Source organism: Homo sapiens, chromosome 9, assembly GCF_000001405.40.
Source record: "Homo sapiens chromosome 9, GRCh38.p14 Primary Assembly".
Taxonomy (NCBI): Eukaryota; Metazoa; Chordata; class Mammalia; order Primates; family Hominidae; genus Homo; species Homo sapiens.
The window spans coordinates 92,271,267-92,297,357 of NC_000009.12; the positions used below are offsets into that span (position 1 = coordinate 92,271,267).

General features: G+C 39.5%; 1 protein-coding gene and 2 non-coding genes across 24 annotated transcripts in view, besides 1 other annotated feature; all 3 read right to left on the reverse strand.

Annotated features, from left to right (window-relative positions):
- IARS1 (isoleucyl-tRNA synthetase 1) overlaps nt 1-22,431 on the reverse strand; it is an 83,491-nt gene extending 61,060 nt beyond the window's left edge. For 10 of the 22 annotated variants that reach the window (NM_001374301.1, NM_001378582.1, NM_001378584.1 and 7 more), the window contains exons 1-11: nt 22,345-22,431; nt 18,035-18,160; nt 16,860-17,016; nt 16,525-16,644; nt 15,270-15,352; nt 14,456-14,573; nt 9,480-9,627; nt 6,933-7,020; nt 6,597-6,657; nt 3,160-3,255; nt 267-389 (exon numbers count right to left, since the gene is read on the reverse strand). In NM_001374301.1, coding sequence (NP_001361230.1) covers nt 267-389; nt 3,160-3,255; nt 6,597-6,657; nt 6,933-7,020; nt 9,480-9,627; nt 14,456-14,573; nt 15,270-15,352; nt 16,525-16,644; nt 16,860-17,016; nt 18,035-18,153 — 1,113 coding nt within the window. In that variant the 5' untranslated portion in view covers nt 18,154-18,160; nt 22,345-22,431. Of the gene's footprint in view, nt 1-266; nt 390-3,159; nt 3,277-6,596; nt 6,658-6,932; nt 7,021-9,479; nt 9,628-14,455; nt 14,574-15,269; nt 15,353-16,524; nt 16,708-16,859; nt 17,017-18,034; nt 18,161-19,569; nt 19,657-22,174 lie in introns of all 22 variants that reach the window. The other 12 variants (NM_001374300.1, NM_001378578.1, NM_013417.4 and 9 more) reach the window with 9 other exon arrangements.
- On the reverse strand, nt 21,192-21,281 carry MIR3651 (microRNA 3651). The gene has a single exon (NR_037424.1). It is a non-coding gene; the product is annotated as a microRNA 3651 (primary transcript).
- SNORA84 (small nucleolar RNA, H/ACA box 84) lies at nt 21,195-21,327 on the reverse strand. Its single transcript, NR_003704.2, has one exon. It is a non-coding gene; the product is annotated as a small nucleolar RNA, H/ACA box 84 (small nucleolar RNA).
- Nucleotides 22,813-22,862: an enhancer, noted in NCBI's record as "active region_28593". NCBI's record gives its function as "activates an Ori minimal core promoter by ATAC-STARR-seq in GM12878 lymphoblastoid cells {active_cell/tissue: GM12878}" and the evidence as "EXISTENCE:reporter gene assay evidence [ECO:0000049][PMID:35858748]".

Consider the following 26,091-nt stretch of genomic DNA (forward strand, 5'->3'; position numbering starts at 1 on the left):
CTGAAATGACAACCCCAAGGTCACAAAGGTGCTTCATGAGGCATGAACTGGAGTTTTTCTGATCTTTCCCCATGAAATTTCAGCATGCATCCTCTAAAGATATGAGACCCTCTGAACGTAACTGATAACATCTGTCTTTACGGATTTCATGCGATGACAAAACCAAATAAAAACAACTTCCTAGAAGAATTACAATACAATTATAAATGATGGTAGAGACTAATCAGAAGTAACAGTCACCCTTCTATGCTATATGGATTACAGACCTTCACATACTGTCCTGCGAAATCTGTCACCTCCGTTGTGAAGCAGCCTGAAGCATCCACAGGGCAAACAGGGAGTGAGTCTTTCCGAATAATGTTAAAGTCCATACAGACCCGATAGTCCTCCTGAGAAAAGGCAAAAGAGAGGGAAGAATAAAACAGTCTATGTATGGGTGTGAGCATGAGGTAATAGATTCCCAAGATAATTGTTCTATATTGTAACATATACATTTCATCAACTTTGTCCTGTAAACTGAAGGTAACTCAAGACCATTCGGAGAATCAGACCCTCACAGTTGGACAGGGGTTAGGTCACCCAGTCTAGTCTTCTCAAATATTATTTCCCAGACCTCCATATGTAGCAGAGTATCCACTAAATGAGAAGATAGATGACATACATCAATTTTTTAAGTGAAAGGAATTAAGAAAGTAAAGCAATAAAGAATGGCTACTCCATAAGCAGAGCAGCCACACAGGAATGTTTTAAAACTAAATCAAATTTGATTTATAACAGCAGCACACACATCTGAAAAACCAAAAATTTCCTATTTTACAGATAGGAAAGTCGAGGTACCAAGAAGTAACTCAGCTATGAAGCAGCAATGCTAGGATTCAAAACCAAACAGCCTGGCTCCAGAGTCTATAGTCTTCATCACTGTGTTATGATGCCTAAATATAAAATTAAAGAGATTGCCTTATGTTGGTGAAACCACACTCTGGGTTGACTCCAAGACAAGCTGGAAAGCTGACATGCTTCCACCTGGATCTGTGTTCACCTCTCCCTGTGCTGAGGCTGACTGGTGTGGTGTCATGTGGGTAGACAGGAAAAGCCCCTAAGTGCAGCAATTTGAACCACTGAGTGTGGAGCAAGTAACTTTACCCAGTGCATTAAGCTAAGAGCAGCATTCCTGAATGCATCCAGAACCAGTGATGTTCAACAGGATGACGCACAAGTGCACAGACTCTGCGAAGATCAAACACTACCCTTGCCTGGTGAAGACAAGTGCAACGGAAGGCCTCTCAGAAAATGTTTACCAAGGCCGGGTGCAGTGGCTCACGCCTGTAACCCCAGCACTTTGGGAGGCCAAGGCGGTCAGATCACCTGAGGTCAGAAGTTTGAGACCAGCCTGGCCAACATGGTGAAACCCTGTCTCTACTAAATTTACAAAAAATAAGCCAGGCATGGTGGCAGGTGCCTATAATCCCAGCTACTTGGCAGGCTGAGGCAGGAGAATCGCTTGAACCTGGGAGGCAGAGGTTGCCGTGAGCCAAGATTGCACCATTGCACTACAGCCTGGGCAACAGAGGGAGACTCTGTCTCAAACAAAACAAAACAAAAAAAAAAAAAAAAAAAAAAATTTACCAAATGGTGTTAAAAGCTATAGTTTAAAGAATGAATCTTCTATAACATTAACATGCACAGCATTGAGAATAGATATATGAGATATAACTCTAGAGTTAATGACAAACACCCACATTTAAAAAAGAAAACCTCAGGAGGCTGAGGCAGGAGAATCGCTTGAACCCAGGAGACGGAGATTGCAGTGAGCCGAGATCCTGCCACTGCACTCCAGCCTGGGTGACAGAGCGAGACTCCCATCTCAAAAAAAAAAAAAAAAACCCCTACACTACAATTCAAAACCAAGAAGTTACCTTTTTATTATCTACTAAGAGTGGGGTAACCATACCAGTTAATTGACCCTAAAATGATTATGAACAATATTTGACTAGTTCCTAAAACTCTTAAGTAGTATTATCAAGAATGCTTCCTTCCATCAAAATGGACCAGGTATTAGGTGATTATTAAGGAATTGCTGACTTTATTGGATATTTATACTGAAAATAAAAGTCCTTATCAGTCAGAGATGCAGCTAGAATTACTTAGACACGAAAGACATGAGGATGAGGATTTGCTTTTAAATCCTCCAGCCAAAATAAAAAAGTGTGCTACTGTACAGAGGAAGAAAACGAGAGATTGCCAAAACATTGAGAGTTAATGCAGCTGGATGATGTGAAAAAAAGAATCTATTATCATATTTTCTTCTGTGTATGTTTCAAGATTTCCATAATAAAAATTCAAGTGATGGTTACACTAAAAGCCCAGATTTTACTACTATACAACATATCAATGTAAAAAAATTGCACCCGTACCCTCTACATCTATAAAAGTAAAAAATCCCAGAGATTAAGCATGAAAGCAAAATGGCAGATGAGGGCAGACTACTGCCACTGCCTTTTAGAACAAAGTCACATTTCCAATCCCTCTCACTGACAAAACGATCAAGCCTAGAGGAATGTGTATGTAGGTGCTACACCATGCTACACCATGCTACAGAGGAGGCAAAAGAAGTCCAGATAGGCCAGGCAACTTACCCAGGAACTGCCCGTTAGTGGCAGTGCCATGATTTAAGGTGAGAGGTGGTTTACTGTAAAGCATGTGCCTTTATGTTATTCTGTTTTTATTCATACACAAATTACATAAAAAGGAATGTGTTTTTAGAAAAATTATTCTAGTCAAAATATAAAATTAACTGTAGAGTACTGTTTTGAGGGGAGAGGTCAGATTCCCCCTTCTGAACATTTAATTAAGAACACAGCAGAGGTGATGGGAATGGTCTGTATCTTGGTGGCTGAGGCACCTGCACGTCTCTAGATGCCTGTCAAAACTCACGGAACTGCACACCAAAAAGAGTTTACTGGATTTGGCCCACTCTTTCCAGAAATCAGCTTAGGATGAAAGGGAATTGCAGATGCAAATTTTACAAGCCATCTTGCAGGCAGTGAGCCAGAAAAGAGGCCAACCTGGTAACCCAACATGATGAGACACAGGACTCCGCATCTATGAAAAGTGGCTACCGACATACTCAAATACATTTGCCAGACTTATGCTACTCACAGCACCGAAGTAAGGAGCTTGGTGGACAACCCCTGTGCCTTCTTCTTCCTTCACATAGTTGTCAACAAGCACAGTGAAAGCGCCATTCTCTTTACACTGGAAAGAAAGGACAGCAGGCTTCAGGGATGAAACATTACTGTGTTACAACGTTAACTTTGTAACAGTTTTTCCTAAGAACCTGAAAATGCTTTTAACCGGTAAAATTATTTTCAGAAATAGAAAAGAAAGAATAATGCAGGCTGGGAAGAAACATGCTAATTCAATACATTTTTCCCATAAATAAAAAGTTACCACTTATAAACGAAATAATTATCTGGAGAATGGCAGATAAAAATTTCTAATTTCCTTGGTTACAAACGTGTTTTTCATTAGTTCTCCCTCCCCCAACTTTTTGTCCCTATGCAGTTTAGGATACAGTCTCAGAAAGCATGCTCCCTAAATTGTTCACTTCCTGGTACATTTTCAATCACTGCATATGTTTTGCTTCTCTTTCTCCTTTCAACTCAGCTCAAGTTATTCAGTCATAAAGGCAAATCTTGAAAGGAACAGGTGGGAGCCACGAGTAGTAAGTTCTACTTACAGGTACTCCACCACCTTAATACTCAGGGGAAATGTGTTCAATTTCATTTTCTTTGCAACAGCAATATCATCATGTTAATACATATAATGCTAACAGACCTACTCTACTTTCATCTTTTTACATTTCTTTCCACAAACCCTTGTTTCTGCCAAACTGGCCCTTTGATGTCCTTCCTTTTTGCATTGGTAAAAAGTACTTTCACAAGTGATTTTCACATTTAACTCCTATAATTCTGTGAACAAGCTATTAGTAGTCCCATGTCTTAAAAATATTCTGGCTGTATTTGCATTTCACAGATGAGCAAGCTCAGAACAAAGATTAAACTTAGTCTTATCCAAATCACACAACCAGCAATGATGAAGCCAGGACATGGAACAGGTCTTCTGGTTGCAAATACAATGTTATTTTCAATTACATCACAGCACTCGGTTTCTTTGGAACTTAAAACTAAACTTGAAAAATAACCATAAAATTTTAATTGTTGTAACCTAAATCACCTTGAAACATTTTAGAAGTTATAGTATGATAGGTGCTAAAACTTCGATAGTTTAAACAGAAAGACAGAATACATGGGTCCTTAGAATTACATGTATACTTAGTTACATGTTCTATACTTAGAAGCAGTATAGACAAAGTCACTGCATCTTGTCTCTCAGGGTCTACTTTGGGCCTACCCAGGCCATGGCTGGGCTGCTTCCACCCAGGTCAGTAGATACCAACCACCAGGAGCAGCAGTGCTGCTCCATAGGCAGTGTCCGCTGACTCAGCTTCCCTCGATATTTCACAACAGGTATATTTCAGTGAACATCAGATGATTCCGTCCTGGGTCAAACGATTTATAGTACTTGCCTAAAGTCACCGAAGGTTTCAGGTAGTTTAAGAAGCTTATTTAATGAGTAGGTGTTATTCAACTTAATACCTACCAAGTGCATATTCCAGACAGACCTCTACTTAACCTAAAGTTCCTGTCTAGTGTATCCATGTGCATTCTTTCAGGGGGTTGAGTTTTTGGGTTCTCAATAGGTTTTGTGATTCAGAAAGGTGAGAGTCACTGATCCAGTGGAAGAGATTTCAGATAATAAAAAAAATACAACATAAAACAAAGTATGTTAAGCTATATGATAGGAGAATGGAATGAAGTAATGACATTTTTCCAAGGGAGAAACCAAAGATGCATTTCAGAAAACTTTCAGAGGACATCTGAGTTCAGACCTGAAGGGTGAGTTAACTCAGCAGATATCAACATAAGAAAAAAATAAAGACTTTTAAGACAGTAGGAAAACTTAATTAAAGAAAGGCAGGGAAGCAGGAAAGGGAAGAGCCAGTTTGACTGAATAAAGGATATGTCTAAAGTAATGTGGGAGGATGTGGTCAGGAAGCAGCTCTGCCACATACCGACTGGGGAGGGCACGTCCTAATTGCTGGTAAATAACTAACGCCTGTAGGGAGGAATGGGATGAGGGCAGAACATATGGAAATCCACTGGGCAGCAACGTGGGAGGAGGAAGAAGGCTATCAAGTAGGCAACGAGAAATGTGGGAAAACACTCAAGAGGCACAAAAGTGAAAAGGCAGGTAACAGACACACCATGGATAGGGCCCAAACCACAGAGGTCTCCTTAATCAACCAGACTCTCCCCACACGGAACAGAAACAACTGAGGGTTCAGCGAACATTTTTTTCTGGGATGGGACGTAAGTGATATGTCCAGTTGATTATTATTTCCACATAAGGCCAGGTCTGCTCATTATCTCATTTCAAGACCTTTAAATAAGGACGGAGAAATTCCTCTTTGACACTATTCTTTCGGTGAGAGAGTGTGGGAGTGGGGACAGCAGGGTTTGCAACTGTAGCTGTGGATTCTCCACTGTCAGAAAATAAAACCACATAAAACAACTTTATGACTCTGAAGAAACTAAGGTGCTAAATGTATGAGCTCTGTCGTGGTGCCTAGATTTAAAACACCTGCCTCATTAACCTCCTTGAAATAAAATTGTGTTTACCTTTCCACATGATGTTTTACTGTGATTACTATCTTAACTTTGTCAAAACAAACAAACAAACAAAAACCTCAATAAATACCCTGGGTGATATGTAGACTACATGCAATAAAAATATACACCTAAAAATCCAATCAAATGTAAAATGATTCCTCATACAATTTGAGAAAAATATTCAAATAAAAAATCCCAGCTTGGCCAGGCACGGTGGCTCACAAGGTCAGGAGTTCAAAACCAGCCTGGCCAAGATGGTGAAACCCCATCTCTACTAAAAAGTACAAAAATTACAGCATGCCTGTAATCCCAGCTGCTCGGGAGGCTGAGGCAGGAGAATTGCTTGAACCTGGGGGGCAGAGGTTGCAGTCAGCCAAGATCGCGCTATTGCACGATATTTGCACTCCATCTCAAAAACAACAACAACAAAAAATCCCAGCCAGGTGCAGTGGCTCATGCTTGCAATTCCAGGAGTTCAAGACCAGCCTGGGCAGCATAGCGAGATTCTGTCTCTACAAAAAACTAAAAACTTAGCCCGGTGTGGTGCTGTGTGCCAGTAGTCCCAGCTACTCGGGATGGGGCAGGGGAATCACTTGAGCCCAAGAGGTCGAGGTTGCAGTGAGCTGTGATTGTGCCACTGCACTCCAGCCTGGGGGACAGAGGAAACCCTGTTTTTAAAAAAAAAAAAAAAAATCCTCTAAGACAAGAAAGCTACACAAACAATTTAATTTTGTTGGTACTAAAGCAGACTTTCTGGATTCAGGTACACTCATAAAAGTAATGTCAATTCCACTTCTCACAACACCCCAGCTATCAAATAATCAGATTGTGGAGAGCGCCCACAGTAGCGGTCCCTAAGCTTACCTTCAGGAAATAGTCAAACAGGGGCCTGTACTTCTTGCCTTTAAGATAGGCACCAGGAAATCTAGAAAAGGAGAAAGGCAAACTCACAATTAGATTAAAATCAAATATGAGGCTGCAGCCACATCAAGCTACCACTCCCCTCTGGTTTACTGGCTTCTTAGCCCTAGCCATTCATGCTGTAATGTGTGACTGCAAAGTACTTAGTATAGTATTAGTACTTAAAACTAAATTTGAATAATGCAAGCTTTTGGATAACAAAGTTTATTTCTTTTTAAAACTAAAGACACACATACAGACACATGCACACAAACACAGAGCAACTATTTGAATATTCACCTTTCAAGGATCTCATAGTCACTCTCCAATTTATAGAGGGCTGACAATCTGGCTTCCATTAAAATGAGTAATCGTCCTCTGGCAACATCTACGAGAAAAAGGAAAAACATGGACTTGGGTTATATTCTGAACTTGGCTGATTCCAAAGACATGCATCAAGCATACTTTTGTCCTGAGGAGCTCCTGTACCATGTGCCTCTACTGTACCCAGTACTCACAGAGAAATACTGCAAAGAACACTATGGTATACTGCTTCCCAAACATGAAAATGACAAAAACATCAAATGCACTTAGGCAGTTGGTAGTTATTATTTATCGCTCAGATATCCATTTTAAGTAAATCTTTATTTTTTCCTTCATAAGGTAAACATGTCAATGTTTAAAAATAACATTGACAAAGTAGCTCACAAATTAAGTGCCACATATCACCCCCTCTCAGACATTCTCATTTGGGTGTCTATGGATCCGGATATTTTTCTATGTATATACAAACAAACATATAGGTAAATGTGTAAGTTCTTTTTATTTTTCTAATTGAGGTAATATTCTATCTGATTTTGTAGCTTTTCACTTAATATACTGTCAACATACTTCCATGTATTAGCACATACAGACTTTTCTCATCCTTTTAAAGAGCTCTATGGGACGCTATTTTATAGAGGTACGAATTATTTCTAACAAGTTGACAGACACTTAAATTGCTTTCAAATTTTCACTACTATGAACACTGGCATGATGAATGTCCTTGATGCATCTGTGTACCCTTATTGTAAGTGTTTCTGGAGGATACCTGGGGCATCCTAGGAAAAGAAAAGCTGGAGCAAATGTATGAACAGTTAAAACTTTGATACTGAAAATCTAGGCCAATTTAAACTCTCATCATAAGCTATGATATTACACATCTGAGATTTACTAGAGCCTATGTCATATATTTAGTTCACTATAAGAAAAATGAGTATCTATGGGTCATTGTAAAAGCCTTTCCAATTTATTGAAAAACTGCTATGAATAAGGCTGCCACTCCCTAGCTCTGACCTCACAGGAACTTCATTGTAAGTGGGGACCACAGTTTCTGATAAAGCTCAGATACAAAGTCTGCCAAGCACAAGAGTTATACACAGGTAGATGGGTGATGTGTTTTGAGATCTCAGTCAGGTGGCTGCTGAGATTGTCAAGCTCACCACAGAATGGCTAGTGACCCACCAGTGACATAGGGAAATTGTGCAGATGGGACTGTCCTTGCTCCAGAGAAGCAGCTGCAGACACCTGAGCCAGGCCTCTTTGTGGCCAACAGCTTTCCAGTAGGTCAACTCTTAGTCCTATTTGCTCCCAGGAAAGAACAAATAAAAAACTCCCTCCGTACCTTTTTTCTGGCACCCAATCTTTCCCCATTCCTTTCTCAATATTTTTCCCTTGCCAACACAAGCTATTGTTCAATCAAGTTGACTGTTTTAATACAACTATTTTTAAAAATCATGGTAACCATTCTTACACAGAATTAAATACATCTACAATGTTGTGTAATCATTACCATTATCAATACCCTAAACCTTTTCATTTTCCTATACTGAAACTCTGTACTCATTAAACAATAACTCCCCCTTCCCTCCCAGCCTCTGTCAACCACCATTCTACTAGTCTTTGCTCTCTGAAGTTCACTTCTCGATACCTCATATAAATAGAATCATGTAGTATCTGTCTTTTGGTGACTGGCTCATTTTAATTAGCATAATGTCCTCCAGGTTCATTCAAGGCATAGCCTGTATCAGAATTTCCTTTCTTTTTTAGGCTGAATAATATTCCACTGTACGTAAATACCCTATTTGGTTTATTCATTTATCCAATGATAGACACTTGGGTTGCTTCTATCTTTTGACTACTGTGAATAATGCTCCTATGAACACGGGTGTACAAGTAACTGTTCAAGACTGCTTTCAATTCTTTGGGGAAAACACTCAGAAGTGAAATTGCTGGGCCATAGTGTCATCTCATTCAGCTTTTTGAAGAAATGTCACTGCCTTCCACAGCAGCTGTGCCATAGCTTTTTTCATGGCAATGAGTTTTTCTCTTTTTCTTTTACCGCCACAAAACTACCAAACCTGAAGGTATATTTGTTCACAAAGTACCAATCTTCTTTTTAAATCTCGGAAAGGCCCTCGTTGAGACTGGTAACTCTCTACCAGGGGACATTTGAAAGGCAAAAAGTTCTCAAGTTCTGGTATCAATTGCTAGTAACGACGTGATGCCACATCGCTGAATCTTAGATTCTTCATCTGTCACAGGGGCATGGTGTGGAAAAATGTACTATAAACTGGAAATTATAAGAAAATTTTATGTTCTACTTTTTATATCTCTGTACTATTTTAATTGTTTTGTTAGTTTTCAATTAGAAATGAAAACAAATGTTTAAAGTTATTTTTCTAATTAAGTCAGATTGTTTTCAAATAATTCTATTCTTCATGCAAAAAGAAAGGTAAGCTTTCATATTTTCCAAAATATAAAATTATCTTATCCATATTAATCATAAGTAACCAGCCTCCCACTTACCTTTAATTTTCACATATTGCATTTCTGGATTAACACACACAGCAAGGTTACTAGGTAGAGTCCAGGGAGTGGTTGTCCAAGCAACTAAAGATACAGTTTCATCTTCTTCCAAAGGGAAAGTTACAAATACTGAAGGATCTTGAACATCCTGAAATAAATTGAGGTAAAGTATTGTTTTAGAAATCCACAATAACAGACACCTAAGAAAAAGGAACTACTCCTAAAGAGGAATAAAATAAATCTTCAGGGTAAACCGAAGAAACCACTTACCAGACTTACAAACAGAAAATAGCAAGAAATTCCAAGTAAAAAAATTTTTAAATACTTTAAAAAATGTTTTAATCATCACCTTAGTAGTCTCAAAAATAATGTCTTTTGACACCTGGTGACTTTTTTTTTTTTTTTTTTAGATGGAGTCTCACTGTGTCACTAGGCTGGAGTGCTGTGGTACAATCTTGGCTCACTGCAGCCCCTGCCTCCTGGGTTCAAGTGATTCTTGTGCCTCAGCCTCCCGAGTAGCTGGGATTATAGGTGCGTGTCACCACACGTGGCTAATTTTTGTATTTTTAGTAGAGATGGGGTTATTCCATGTTGGTTAGGCTGGTCTCAAACTCCTGACCGCAGGTGATCCTCCCACCTCAGCCTCCCAAAGTGCTGGGATTACAGGCGTGAGTCACCATGCCTGGCCTCTGGTAACTTTTTAAAGTAATGTCTAAGTAGGAACATATGATGGAGGTTTCAGTATTATGATTATCTATTTTGTAAGTCCATCAAGAGTTAGATCAAAAAGATAACTGTTCTGGAATATGGTTATCTTTTTGCCCAAAATACCAAAAAGATCCTACTGAAGCAACACATACTTGAAATTGTAACAGACCCATATAAATTCAGCTCATTAAATAAGAACAAGATTGTCTCCAACTTTACGGAAATGTTTCAACACAAAAATATCAAGGATTTAAAAATAAATAGCTCTAAGGTAGGAAAAAAAAAATCAATCCCCAACAAAAACCAACTGCAATTTAAATAAAGTGACACGAGAGCCATTAGTCACATGTAAAACATCAGACAAACTTGAAATAAGAGACACTACTATTGGCCTGTACCTCCTCAAATATGTCAGTATTATGAGGCATAAAGAGACTAAAGAGCTCTTTAAGATTAAAGAAGGCTGGAGACATACCACTGCATGAAGCACACAATGTAGGTCTTTTTTGTTTTTCTTTCCTTCTTTTTTTCTTGTTAACTATAAAGGACACTGCTGGGACAAGCAGAACCCAATAAGATCTACACATGAGGTAATACAGCATCAATGTTAATTTTCTAACTCCAGTTATTTCAAACAATGTTACTGATTTTAGGAAATATATAGTTTTTAGAGGAAAAGGGCCATAATTCCTGCAACTTACTCTCAAAGGGTACTGTGCCCCACTCCCATAAAAAGAGAGAAGGATAAAGCAAATGTGGTAAAAGGTTAACATTTAGGGAATCTAGTTGAAGGATATAAAGAACTCTCCGCTTTTCTGTGAGTTTGAAACTACATCAAAATTAATTTTTTTCTTTTCTTTTTTTTTTGAGATGGAATCTCACTCTGTCACCCAAGCTGGAGTGCAGTGACGTGATCTCAGCTCACTGCAACCCCCACCTCCCAGGTTCAAGCATTCTCCTGCCTCGGTTTCCTGAATAGCTGGGACTACAGGTGTGCACCACCATGCCCAGCTAATTTTTGTAAAAAATTAAAATTTTTTAGCACGGTGGCTCATGCCTATAATCCTGGCACTTTGGGAGGCCAAGGCAGGAGGATCGCACAAGCTCTGGAGTTTGAGACCAGCTGGGGCAATATGGTGAGATCCCATCTCTACAAAGATAAAAAAATTTTCTGGGCATGGTGATGCACATCTGTGGTCTCAGCTGCTCAGGAGGGTGAGGCTGGAGGATCACTTGAACCCAGGAGGTCAAGGCTGCAGTGAGCTGTGTTTGCACCATTGCATTCCAGCCTAGGTGACAGACTGAAATCCCTTCTCTAAAAATAAATAAATAAAAGTTTTAAGCCAATACATATATATGTATACTTACATATATACATACACACACATATATATATATATATATATATTTTTTTTTTTTGAGACAGAGTCTAACTCTGTCACCCAGGCTGGAGTGCAGTAGCACACTTTCGGCTCACTGCAACCTCAACTTCCTGGGCTCATGTCATTCTCTTACTTCAGCCTGTGGAGTAGTTGGAACTAAAGGTTCACGCCACCACGCCCAGCTAATTTTTGTAATTTTAGTAGAGATGGGGTTTTGTCATGTTGCCCAGGTCGGCCTCCAAAAGTGCGAGGATTTCAGGTGTGAGCCACTGTGCTTGGTCAAGTCAAAAAAATTTTAAAAACCCTTGGTTAACAATCAATATACAGACCGCGTAGAATAGAGGTCAGCAAACCATGGCCCCTGGGCCAAATCTGGCTCATCACTTGTTTCATACAGTGGGTGAGTTAAGAATGGTGACAAAATTGAGAACACTTTGCCTGAAAAGCCTAAAATATTTAATTTGCAGAGGAAAGTTTCCCAACCTCAGTATTAGAACTAAAAATTAAGTATACTCTGTGACTCACCTGGGCGTGGTGGCTCACGCCTGTAAAAATACCCGCACTTTGGGAGGCTGAGGCAGGTGGATCAACTGAGGTAAGGAGTTCAAGACCAGCCTGGCCAACATGGCGAAACCCTGTCTCTACTAAAAATACAAAACTTAGCTGGGCATGCTGGCGGGCACCCGTAATCCCAGCTACTCGGGAGGCTGAGGCAGGAGAATTGCTTGAACCTGGGAGGAGGGTGCAATGAGCCAAGATCACACCACTGTACTTCAGCCTGGGCATCAGAGTGAGACTCCGTCTCAAAAAAATAAAAATTAAAACAAAGTATACTCTGACTCGATAATTCCACTACTTGTTATATAACCAACTGAAACGTGTACAAGACCTAAAAGACAACAGTCACCATGTGTTTAAGTCTTGGTAGATCCTGATTTAAAAAAATAAATAAATAAAAATAAAATATAACCCCTTGGGAAATGATTAAACCATTAGAAATATGAACTGATGATGTTCAGGAATTACATAATTTGAGAATATTAAAATAAAAACTATTAAAGGTGGCTAGGTGCAGTGGCTGACACCTGTAATCCCAGCACTTTGGGAGGCCAAGGCGGGTGGACTGCTTGAGCCCAAGAGTTCAAGACCAGCCCAGGCAACATGGTGAAACCACTCCTATAGAAACACATAAATTAGCCAGGTATGGTGGTATGTTCCTGTAGTCCCAGCTACTCAGGGGGCTGAAAGGGGAGATCACTTGAGCCCGGGAGGTCAAGGCTGTGGTTAGCCGAGATCGTGCCACTGCACTCTAGCCTGGGTGACATAGCGAGATCCTATCTCAAAAACAACAACAACAACAAAAAGGTAACTGCTGATGACTTTTTAAGGTGTGACAACGAATGCTAACATGGCAATGTTTAAAGAAGATAAAGATTATTTATGAAAGATCTATACTGGATTATTTCTTGATGAAATAATATGATATCTGGAATTTGTTTCAGAATTGGAAGGAAAGTGGGAAAGAATATGTGTATGAATGAGGCAAGATTAGCCAGTCATTGGTGCTGGGGGCCTTAATGGGCCTACAGAAATTAATTATACCATTCTGTTTACTTTTGCATGTCCCTGAAACTGTCCACATTCAAGTGTTTTAAAAAACAACCAAACAGGCCGGGCGCAATGGCTCACAACTGTAATTCCAACACTTTGGGAGGCCAAGGTGGGTGGATCGCAAGGTCAGGAGTTCAAGACCAGCCTGGCCAAAATGGTGAAACCCTGTCTCTACTAAAAATGCGTGGTGGTGGGCACCTGTAAACCCAGCTACTCCAGAGGCTGAGGCAAAGAACTGCTTGAATCGGGTAGGTGGAGGTTGCAGGGAGCCAAGATCGCGCCACTGCACTCTAGCCTGGGCGACAGAGCAAGACTCTGACTCAAACAAACAAACAAACAAAAACCAAATATAGCAATATATTAAGATTTGACAAAGGTAAGCCTTGGAAACCTTGTGTTTACCATATCATTCTCTACATTGTTAAGTGCTTAAAATATTTTACTAAAAAAATACAAACATGAGCACAGAGAGGTGGTAAGGAGATAATAGAAATCATCATACCTGCCTTACAAGGATTTACAAAGATCAATCAAACAGGATATGTGAAAGCATTCTATAAATAAAACGTGCTTTGAAAGGCAAATTTTACTAATGTAATTTTCAAACCTAGGCCATGAAACAAGAATTCCAAACAAGTCAACATCCTTTAAAAACAGAGGGTCAGATAAACTCTCAAAACTGAAAACAACTCAGTATACACACGAGAAGAGATGGTTCACATTTCAGAAGACTTACTAGTATATAATATCTGTCTAGATATGGTATAACAATACACTCTGTAAACATCAAACATGTCTAAACACCTCAATCATAGCAACAACAACAACTGATTCTATCTCATCAGAGGAAAAATAATACCATTTGGCATCTCAAATTAATTTTTTTCCAAATACCGTTAACAAATAAATGATATCATGAGGTCCCAGATAAGGCATAAAATTACTCAACCCTTAAGAAACGATGACTACAGGAAGTATGTCAAAGCTGGACTTGTTAACCCAACAGAGAGGCACAAAAATATGGTCAAAACAAGCAAAACCTATCACATTAAGACACATCATAAATCCAATGTGGAAAAAAAATCCCTCATCTTAACAGAGCCTTAGTATACTAACTGGCAATATTTCCAGCACTCAGTAAGAAGTGGTCAAAGTGGTGGATGTCGTGGGCAACATTCCACACTGGGTCTACTTGGGAATACCTACTGTGATCATAACTACTCAGCTTCCACCTACAAAACTCAATGCTGAATAATGTCTCTACATTTCACGTACCTTATAATTCTGGTGTGACTCGAAGTTGGAAAGTGGAGTGTTACATGCCGTAGAGAAGGGCATGACTTTCACACCTCTATAAACAAGGCCTTTATCATAGAGTTGTTTGAAGACCCACCTGGTAAGAGATGGAGTTTCACAATTACAGAACAAAATTCTATTTCTGAAAATGCAAACATTTATGCCATTTTCTTTTTAGAGTTTCTGTCTGCCAAATAAGTGAAAAAACAATGTCTTTCATTGGGAGACTGGCTGGTAAATTATAACAGATCAATATAGTAAGACATCAGGCAGACATTAAAATGCTAATATCTACTGATATCGAATGATATTTAACACATAATGTTAAGAAAAGCAACTGGCAGGCTGGGCGCAGTGGCTCACGTCTGTAATCGTAGCACTTTGAGAGATCAAGGTGGATGGATCACCTAGGTCAGAAGTTCGAGACCACCCTGGCCAACAAGGTGAAACCCCATCTCTACTAAAAAGACAAAAATTAGCCAAGCATGGTGGCGGGCGCCTGTAATCCCAGCTACTTGGGAGGCTGAAGCAAGAGAATCGCTTGAACCTGAGAGGCGGAGGTTGCAGTGGGCCAAGACTGTGCCACTGCCCTCCAGCCTGGGCAACTGAGCGAGACTCAGTCTCAAAAAAATAAAAATAAAAGTTCTACATTCAAAAACAAACCTGTTCCCAAAGATTTTCAGAGAAATAACGATGGACTCAAAAATAAACTGATTCATGCTAGTGCATTTTTCCAATTATCAATACAACAGAATAGAATATTTACCATATTTACAATTTTAAATAAACCTACCAGACTGATTCCATGAATTGTGGATACAGAGTTTTATAGTCATTGTCAAAGTCAATCCATCGGCCAAGTCTGCTAACAGTAGACTTTAAAATATTAATATTAGAACAGTATTAGACAATGATATTTATAATTGTACATCAATGTGTGTTTATTTCTGTTGTCATCACAAATGAAAATTTTGGGAAAACAGAATAATCAATGGTACAAGTAAATCTATACTGCCAACAACATATTATGTAAGGTTAAGAACCAGTTTTCTCGGCATTCATCCTACATGCACAAAATGTTATTTACAAGTATAAATATTCACTTATAAAAGTCTACCAAAACCACCACTTGGCAAATATCACAGGCATAATTATTACTGGCAAAAACCATCCATGGATGTTAAAATTAATAAGTGAATGTATGACAAAAAAAAGAATATTTGGAAAGAATCTCCCCACAAGATACTTATTAATTACAAAGGAAAAACTACAACTTTACAAAGCAGAAAGCTGACAGCACTTTAACCAAGTGAACAAAGTTATCACCATCAATGTGACATAGCCGCAACACATGCCACCTGATATAATGCATTGAGAAGGGCATAGCATCACTTCTGTGGCATTGTCACCAAAAATGCATAACCTAAATTAAATCAGGAAACCTCACACATTGAGAGACATTATAGAAAATAGCTGTTCTGCAATCTTCAAAAGTGAGAAGGCCATGAAATACAAAGGACTAAATAAATGTTCCATACTTAAGAAGACTAAAAAGACATGACAACCAAATGCAATATGTGATTGGTCAGAAATAAAAATTAATGGGGCAACTGCTTTTGAAAATTCTATTAATATTATGGTTACCGAAGATGTTAGCAGCTGGGAAAGATGGATGAAGGATATAGGGGAACCCATCATACTACTTTTTCAATTGTTTAATAAGTCAAATTATTTCAAAATGAAAAGTTAAAAAAATTGAAAAAAGTATTTGAGAAAAAAAGAAAAGGCCTATATATCATGTTATACTTATTAGAATTTTTCCCTATTGGTGATCATGCAAGAAAGTTAGACCAATTAAGCACACAGAAGTCAGAAGAGAGATGGTTCAGTTTAAGCTAACCGTTTAAGTAATAGGGTTGAAGGTGGAAGCTAACACTTTTTCTACAAAAAATAAATTAATAAAAAAAGCACAAGGGACCATAAACCATTTCAATGCCCATTTAGTAACTACATTTGCTGTTCATTCTACTGAAAAAAACCCAACATACCTTCCACTCAGCAGAATATCTCATCACAATTGCTCGGCACTGATTGTTATACTCTGTAATCCCCATTTTGGCCACATCCTCTGGTCCTCTGATTCCCAGTGTCTTATCAATTTCATATTCCTGAAAATTTGTGATAAGACTGTTACCACGCTGCCCTATGAAAACAACTGCAACTATGCAACTCTAGAAAACAAAACAAATCAAACTACAAATATTATAGAAATGAACTAGAAGGTCTGACAGTCAACGTTCATCATACTTGAACATATTATATGACAAAATCTAATGCTTATAAAAAAAATCAGAAAATTATAAAGCTGGATACTCAAACATACCACAGGTAAGCCATGGCAATCCCATCCAAATCTTCTGTCAACATGAAACCCACTCTGGTGAGCATATCTTGTAACTATATCTTTAATTGTACCCGCAAGTATATGTCCATAGTGAGGCAGTCCAGTTGCAAAAGGAGGACCATCATAGAAGGTAAATCTAACAGGTAATAAAAATATATCAAGCCATTTAAAAACAGCCAAAATTTAAGGCATTTTTCTATAGATAGCTCTTGTCATAGTGGAGTCTTCAAGGAGAAAAGCAGCAAGATCAGGAAACCGACAGACATAATTGATTTGATATTTACTGGTGGTCCTGCCTTCAGAAAGGCTACAATTGTGGTAGAGCTACAGAGACCTCCATTTGATTATCCATTTTTCATTTATTAGTTCCATGACATAAGGCAAATTATTTATCCTGATCTTGAGTTATCTCATCAGTAAAATAGGGCAATAAACCCCTATCTCATAGTTTTTGACCAGAGGAGACATATAATGAAAACACTGATTAAAGGACTAGTCTTTTAGGTGAATGAGGACTAAAGGCAGGTAGTACTATAGTAGCCTTCTATGGGGTACTTAGGTATAAGTGCCTAAACGAGGGTGGTGATGAAAATAAAGGTGGAAAGAGGGTGACACGGAGGATGACACATAAATTTTACTCAGATGACCTTTTAAAGAAACAAAATTTACCCCAATAATTGAGAACTCATTCATTCAATGTATATCTACTACTGAGTACCCACTACATAGGGAGCTGGGGGATTCTGGGAATAGAAAGATTAATAAAGAGTATCTGCTTTAGGCCGCGCGTGATGGCTCACACTTGTAATCCCAGCACTTTGAGAGGCCGAGGTGGGTGGATCACTTGAGGTCAGGAGTCCGAGACCAGCCTGGGCAACATGGTGAAACCCCGTCTCTACTAAAACACAAGAATTAGCTGGTGTGATGGCGGGCACCTGTAATCCCAGCTACTCGGGAGGCTGAGGCAGGAGAATCACTTGCATCCGGGAGGCAGAGGTAGCAGTGAGCAGAGATTGCACCACTGCCCTCCAGCCTGGATGACAGTGCGAGACTCCATCTCAAAAAAAAAAAAAAAAAAAAAGTATCTGCTTTAATGGAATTCAGTCTAAGAAATGACTATTCTTAAGGGAACTTAACCTAAAAAATTCACATACTTTGGTTTATGTTTTGATTGCTTTAAGCATTCCTGAAAACAATTAAATTCAGTCCAAAACTCCAAGATTTTCTCTTCTTCAGCAGGAAAATTTATGTTTTCTGGAACTTGTTGAAGCATTTTGTTGCTGCAAAAGAAATCAAATTTATTACTGTCAAAAGAGAAATCTAGGAATAACAGAGTACCATATTATTAACATGGGTGTACATGACACTATCCATACTTTTAAAAAATTACAGCTTTATTGATGTACAATTTACATAGTGTAATGTAAAAAGTGTACAATTCAGTGGCTTTTTAGTATATTTACAAGGTAGTATAACTAGTAATACCTAATTTCAAAACGTTTTCAACCTCCCCTCCCCACCAAAACACCCCAAAACCATTAGCAGTCACTCCCCATTCTTTCTTCTCCATAGCCAGTGGCAACGATTTATCTTCTTTCTGTCCCTGCAGATTTACCTATTCTGGACATTTCATATAAATGGGAAAATTTATAGGAATCATCTATATGTGGCCTATTGCATCTGGTTTCCTTTCTCTAGCATGTTTTCAAGGCTCATCCATGATGTAATATGTATTCATACTTCATTACTTTTGATAGCTGAATAGTATTCCATTTCATGAATATGCCACATTTTGTTTATCCATTCATCATTTCTTGGATACCTGTATTGTTTCCACTTTTTGGTTATTACGAATAACGCTGCTATGAACATTCACATACAAAATTTTGTGTGGATCTATGTTTTCATTTCTCTTGGGTTTGTAGCTAGAAGTAGAATTTCTGGGTCACATGATAATTCTGTATTTAACTTTTTGAGAAAATGCCAAAATTTTTCCAAAGTGACTGTACTATTTTACATTCCCTCAGCAGTGAATGAGGATTCTAATTTCTTCAGATCTTACCCAACACATCTTATTGTCCATCTTTGAATTACAGTCATTCTAGGAGATGTTAAGTAGTATCTTGTGGTTTTGATTTGCATTTCCCTAAGGACTAATGATGCTGAGCATCTTTCCACATGCTTATTGGCCATTTGCGTATCCACGTTGGATAGATATTTATCCTTTGCCTATTTTCTAATTGGGCTCTTTTTGTGGTTGGGTTTTAAGGGTTATGTATACATCCTGGATACAAATCCTTTATCAGATATATGATTTATAAAAAATTTCTCCTGTTCTGTGGGCCGTCTTTTTATTTTCTTGATGGCATTTTTTGAAGCACAAAGATTTTTCATTTTAATGATGCCCAATTTGTCAATTTTTGGTTTTGCTGCTTGAGCTTTTGGTGTCATCAATAAACCATTACCTAAACAAGGTTATAGATTTTTCGCTTACATTTAGGCCACAAATAATTTTATTTTCGTATATGGTGTGAGGGAGGGGTACATGGCTATTATTTAATATTCAGTAATGGTAGAGACAATGTTTCCAAAAGTAAGCAGGAAAATCTTGGAAATTCTATCTAGTGGTGCAAAAAACTCATTAATAATCTGAAGAAAAATATCTCAAAGTAGTTAAGAATTTTCTTACCTACACTCACATGACAGAAATCAGTTCTCTTGAAGTAACTTCATCTTCTCTTTGAGGAAAACTGGTAAAACTTAAAAAATCTTAAAGCTAAAAAGATGAGAATCTCACATTCAAATATAGATTCCAGTTTTCCATTTTACCCTTTTTATTGCTTATTCATGATTTTTATGAAGGATGAGCCCTATACCTTTCTGGTTTAGTCCCTAATGAGAGAAGTCTTAAAGTGTCTTTTTAAATGTTTTGCTAATAACCTCATGCAGAGATACTTGATCAATCTATGACTTAAGTATCTAGTGAGCCACCCTTGAGACCTTTCCTTCTCAAAGTCTATTTATATTTACTTAACAATTCTAACAAGGTGGGTGACGAGCTTTCCAAGTCAGTATCAGATCAGAAGGGGATAAAATTGCTAATAAGGGAACAACAGAGAAGATAAAAAATCTTAAGTACTCAAGAACCACAACAGACCAGGGTAATCAACTCTACAGGAAAAGACACCTACATACCTCAAACAGTTTTGAAAGCATCAAAAGCATCATAGTCTAATCAAGTTATTGATTCAAGTTATCATTTAAAAAAAAGTCTGTGACAAGTAGTATCTTTCATTTTCTTTTACCCTCATTAATTTTTCAGATGTGTGAGTGCCTCTGAGTTTAATTTAAGAAAAAACAGGACAAGAACAGTTGGGCTGTTTAACTAACTGAAATAGCTATTTCTGATCACAGTATGCCATTAAAAGGTATTAAACAGAAGGTTTAAGGCATTTTAGATCTTCAACTCTTATTATAACCTCTAGCCTTTCAAGGACCAAAATAAGTGTTTGTGCATTTACTGATTTATTTAGGTTCATTGTGTACCTTATCAGAGGCCAACTGAAACTTATGGGATTGTTATCTGAAGACTAACAGACCTTTAGATACCAACACATTCTAATCTCTTCAAGGCTGGTCCTACTATGGCCCACATCTATGGGAGCTTATTAGAGATGCAGACTTACCAGCCTCACCTCGCACCTACGAGTCAGAACCTGCATTTTAACAAGATCCCTAGGGGATGAGCATTCACATCAAAGTCTGAACATCACCACTCTTGCACTGTTCTAACAATTATTCAGGAATATCTATCTGAATTTTTATTTTTGAGAAAATAAGATTTAAGCTTTCTGAGAAGAGGATCATTCCTTTTTTTTTTTTTTTTTTGAGACAGTGGCTCACTCTGTCACCTAGGCTGGAGTGCAGTGGCACAATCATGGCTCACTGCAGCCTTGACCTCCCTGGGTTCAGGTGTTCCTCCCAGTTTAGCCCGCCAAGTAGCTAGGACTACAGGTGTGCACCACCACACTCAGCTTTTTTTTTTTTTTTTTTTGGTGGGGAGGGGGTGGTTTGTAGAGACAGGGTTTTGCCATGTTGCCCTGGCTGGTCTTCAACTCCTAGGCTAAAGCGATCCTCTTGCCCTGGGCTCCCAAAGGGCTGGGATTACAGGCATGAGCCACTATGCCTGGCCAGCTCATTCAGCTTTTACTGTGTTTTTTAGGGAGTCTCTACTTTCCCCAAAGATTAAGAATCACTGCATTATTACGTCAAGCATAAACACTCAGTATAACAGCATTGACTATTCAGGAAGAATCATGTACCAGCGACCGGGCTATGGCAGCTGCTGAGGAGAAGCAGCCTCCATGCATAAATCACAGGATTGCTATGGCCCATCGAATCCACTGGAGAGCTGTCCATGCACAACAGCATCCAGCAACCACAGGGCAGGGACAGAGCAGGTTAACCTTGCACAACAACCTTGTTGTGCAGAGGGATGCCATCCCCTTTGCTTCCCTCTTATTATAATCCAGGCCCTTGACTCTTCGCTGCTCCACAACTCCTTCAGGTCACCTTAACCTCAACTTCCCGTTCAGCAATTTCGAGACCACCCTCCCTGATATTAACTACATATTATTCACATTACTTCATATTATTTTGCCTCAATATATTTTAGAAACGCACACTAAAACCATGTTTTGTTTAAAATTTCATAATTCCTTCCAGAATTGCTTCCCTTTTAAACTACTGTATTAGTGGTTCCAATATTCTTCCCATTACTTAGGCATGACATTTTTGAGTCACCCCTGACACTACTCAGAAGATACACACAACCAATTAATCATCAAGTCATGTGGATCCTACCTATAAGCCTATTTCTGTTCCCCCTTTTCATTCTCCTCTAAATCCATTTCTGTTTCTCCTTTTATTCTCAGGTCTTCATAATCTATTAAGTCAAATGTAACCTGAAAGTGGGACCGTCTCAAACGTTTCCTCAATTTAGTTATATCCTATTAACATAGACTCCACAGGTATACTCATGCAAATGTACAAAATGTGTATACAATGACATTCACCGAATAATTGTTTCTCCAGGCAAATAACTGAAAACAATCTAAATATTCATGGTGACTGAAGTAAATTACGGTACATCAATAAAATAAGTATCTCGCAGCCATTGAAGGTAATAAATTAAGACATATAAAAATACGTATTGCCTATACATAAAGTCACAGCTATATCAATTTATACTATGTATATCATTTTAAAAAGATTTTACTCATTTCAAACACTACCTCATTCAAAAAGGCGACCATAAATTCCTGAGGCTGGAAACGAACGAACGGCAAGCCCCGAAGAAACACGCTCTTTTAAAAATTAAATCTTGTGCTACTGTTTCGGGGTTGTAACGCGTGCGTGACCCTCGTCTTTGAGGGCCGGATCCTGCAGGGAAGAGAGGGCGTACCTGAGGGGCCTCGCGTGCCTGGACAGCCCCGCGGGCCAGCAAGCCTAAAAGCAACTCATCCGGCGTCCACGCTGCAACCGGGCGCACGGAGGTGATGCAACGCGCTGAAAATGCGGGATCCAGTGAAGGAGACAGGCTCCGCACCGGCCAATCAGTGCGCGCTGCCTGACACCTGCCAACAAGCCAGGCGCCGATTGGTCGCGCCGGACATGATTGCGCCCACTGGCTCGGATGGTGCGACAGTGGTGCTTGCTGGTTTTGCGCCTCCACGTGGAAAACGAACCAGCGCTGAGGGCGGCGCTGTGCGTGCTGCTTGTATCCGTTGCAGTAGTGTAGACCGAGGTCTCACTCGGGTTGTGGGCACCTCCGGGTAGGTGACGGCCCACTGGGAAGGGGCGCCGAGGTCGGGGCTCATGTTCTTCATCTTGTTTGCTTTTGTCAGTATTTATCTGACTGGACACTTCGTACCTAAATTGATAACGACAAACAGCAACTTCCGGAGAGGTGGCTTTAATAATTATACTTTTGGGCCCTGAGCCGCCGACCCCAAAGCCGCTTCTCCTATCATAAATGGCTACGTGAAACGATAATAACAAAAGGGAAGGAAGGGTCTGACAACCAGATTTAAAAGTTTTATTGTATTTTACTTAAAATGTTTCCGGTAATGAAAACATTGCACAAACGATTTTTTTTTCTTTTTTTGAGAAGCGGTCTCATTCTGTCGCCCAGGCTGGAGTGCAGTGGCACGGTCATGGCTCACTGCAGCCTCAACCTCCCCGGATCAGATGATCCTCGCACCTCATCCCTGGCCAAGTAGCTGGGACTACAGGCTAGCGCCACCACGCCCGGCTAATTTTTGTATTTTCTGTAGCAACGGGGTCTTGCTATGTTGCCTAGGCTGCTGTCAAACTCGTGGGCTCAAGCGATCTGCTTGCCTTAGCCTCCTTAACTGTTGGGATTACAGGCATGAGCCACTGCACCCGGCCTGCATACTTATTATCATTGCTATGAGTCGGCTTGGTACCTTACTGATCTGCTGGTTAAAATCTGGAGCCTTGCAAAGGGCAGTAGGCCTCGGGCTTTGGCCCCAGAGCCTCTAAAGGAAATTCTGGATCTTGCCAAATTGGGAGTAGTTCCGTAGCTGCCTATTGTATCCGTTAGAGGGATATAAAAAATTTATCTGGCCTAGAATAGGTAGAATGCAGTTTCTTATTAAGTTTAGGAACATTTTGATAGTCTGTTCAGCATATATTTAACTTTACTTACCGTCTTGGCCCTGTGTGAAGGATTAAAGTGGTTTCATGTCCTCCATCATGGGTAACTCAGTGTTCTGACTATACTCACATAACGTACATAATTTAATAGCTGCAAATCTTGTTAATTAACTGAAAGTATTTGGAATGTGTTTGAAGTTTTCACATTCCTCACGTTGCCACCTTGTTCAGTTCATTTTTGTCACCTATCCAGAGAGCCCAGATAGAGCCAGACAGAGGGCTCCTGGACAAAGGTGAGGTAGGCCAAGTCTAATTATTTAAAAATTTGATTGAGAAACATTTATATTAATAGTACTGTTGTGTTGGAAATAATGCTCAAAATCCTAAGGAAATTGAACATTCAAACAAAGGATTTTCAGCAAAGCAATTTTACTTCTGCGCAGAGGGGTGCTTCTCCTTGGCCAGTCACCATGAGAGCACACCAGAACAAAGGGGCACGAGAACCTTTATCCCTGACACAAACCCTGCCCCTGTACCCTTTCTCCATTGGCCGGAGTTGGGCCTCACAATCTAAAATAACCACAGTTGGCTAAACATTTTAACTTTCTTTAGATAAGGTGGGCACGTAAGAGAGAGGGGAAAGGGGGAAGGGCTGTCTGTAATGAGCTAGAGAGCTAGTCTTCTCTTCGGATAAGGAATACGAGCTGGTACTGATAACGCCTGGTACTGTGGCCTGTCTAGGCATGTAACAAAGGCAGAAAGGAAAGAGGAGAAAAAGGGAAGAGGGGGGCACTGTGAATTAAAGAATAAAGGATTGATCAGGCTATTTGAAGAGAAACCTCATCATGTCCCACAGTTGGAAGGTATGGGAAGACTAAGTCTAGAAAAAGTTAAGCAAATGAAAAAATTCCAGCAAAAAAGTTAACTGTAGTCAAAATATATTACTTGGACTGAAGAGGTGAATAATTTTTTCACCTTTTCAGAATATGTAGTGTCTGGAAGTGAAAAACCAAGAAATCAGAGCATAAGCATGTTAGGTAGAAACATGGAGGTAAATACTAGAGAAATTAAATTGCTGAAGGTGGTTTCATCTGGGGAGCAGGAACTGGGGGGTGGGCAAGGCTACTTGATGTTACTTATTTGTCTGCTTGTGAAACATGTGCCGGATTTAAATTACGGCCACACATTCTGACACTCCTCCCACTAAGAAGTGAGGATCTGTGTCCCCTCCCTTTCAGTCTGGTTGGGCTGTGTGTCAGTTTAAACCTGTAGAATACAGTGAAGTGACTGAGCCGGTTTCTGGGCCAGGCCTTAAGAGACAGGCAGCATCTGCTTCCTGCCTCTGAGAACACTTGCTCCTAGAGCTTTTTTGCTATGCTGTAAGGAAGCCCATGAACAGGCACTGAGTGGGCCATCTTAGAAACAGATCCCGTAGCCCTAGCTGAACCACCCCAGTGAAAGCACACAGCACAGATCAGCAGTCCCTAGTGAGTGTTGACCAAATTGCAGTATTTGTGCATAAAATAAATGATTGTTACTGAGATGATTTGCTATGCAGCAATAGAAAATAAGGTACAAATGTGATCTACATCAAGAGAAGGTAGAAAGTGTGAATTATTTATCCTGCTGCTTAGTTGTCCACACTCTCCTTGAAGTCTGAAGTTTTGGAAACCTAGGAATCCAGAATTACTCTTCAAGTTATTTAGTTCCTTGGACCCTTACTAAAAAAACATAGAGCATAAGCCCTAGGGTCATAATGGTTAACACACCAGATGAAATCCCAACAGTTAAGAGTTTATATTCAGCATAGGTAAATCAATAAATACTAATTTTAGGTACACACATCATGGCTTAATGATAGTCCCTTGGAACTATATAATACTATTTCTTTTTTTTTTTTTTTTTAAGATGGAGTCTCACTCTGTTACCCAGGCTGGAGTGCAGCAACATGATCTCAGCACTGCAACCTCTGCCTCCTGGGTTCAAGTGATTCTCCTGTATCAGCCTCCCTAGCAGCTGGGATTACAGGTGTGAGCCACCACACCCAGCTAATTTTTGCATTTTTAGTAGAGATGGGGTTTCACCATGTTGGCCAGGCTGGTCTTGAAATCCTGACCTCCTCATGATCCGCCCGCCTTGGCCTCCCAAAGTACTGAGATTACAGGTGTGCGCCATCACGCCCGGCCTATGTAATACTATTTCATACAGAGCCCATTTTGATAGGAGACGTATGTCTTGAAATCTAGGCAGGTTGGTTTATTTAATGTAATGTTAAATCTGTTTCCCTATTTGGGCTCAGGGTCCTGACTCCTAATTGTGACTACCTATCTTTCAGGCACTTGGTATTTTTCATAAGCTTTTAGTCTAACTAGAATTTTGGGATTGGTGTACATCTAGATGTTGTTCCTTAATTCCTAGAGGCAATGACAAGATAACTGTATTTGGCTTCCTCTCCTGGTCCTCACAGAACTCTTATATGATGTTGGTCTGAAATGTCCTATATTTCAGTTAACCATTCACCAAAACACAAGTA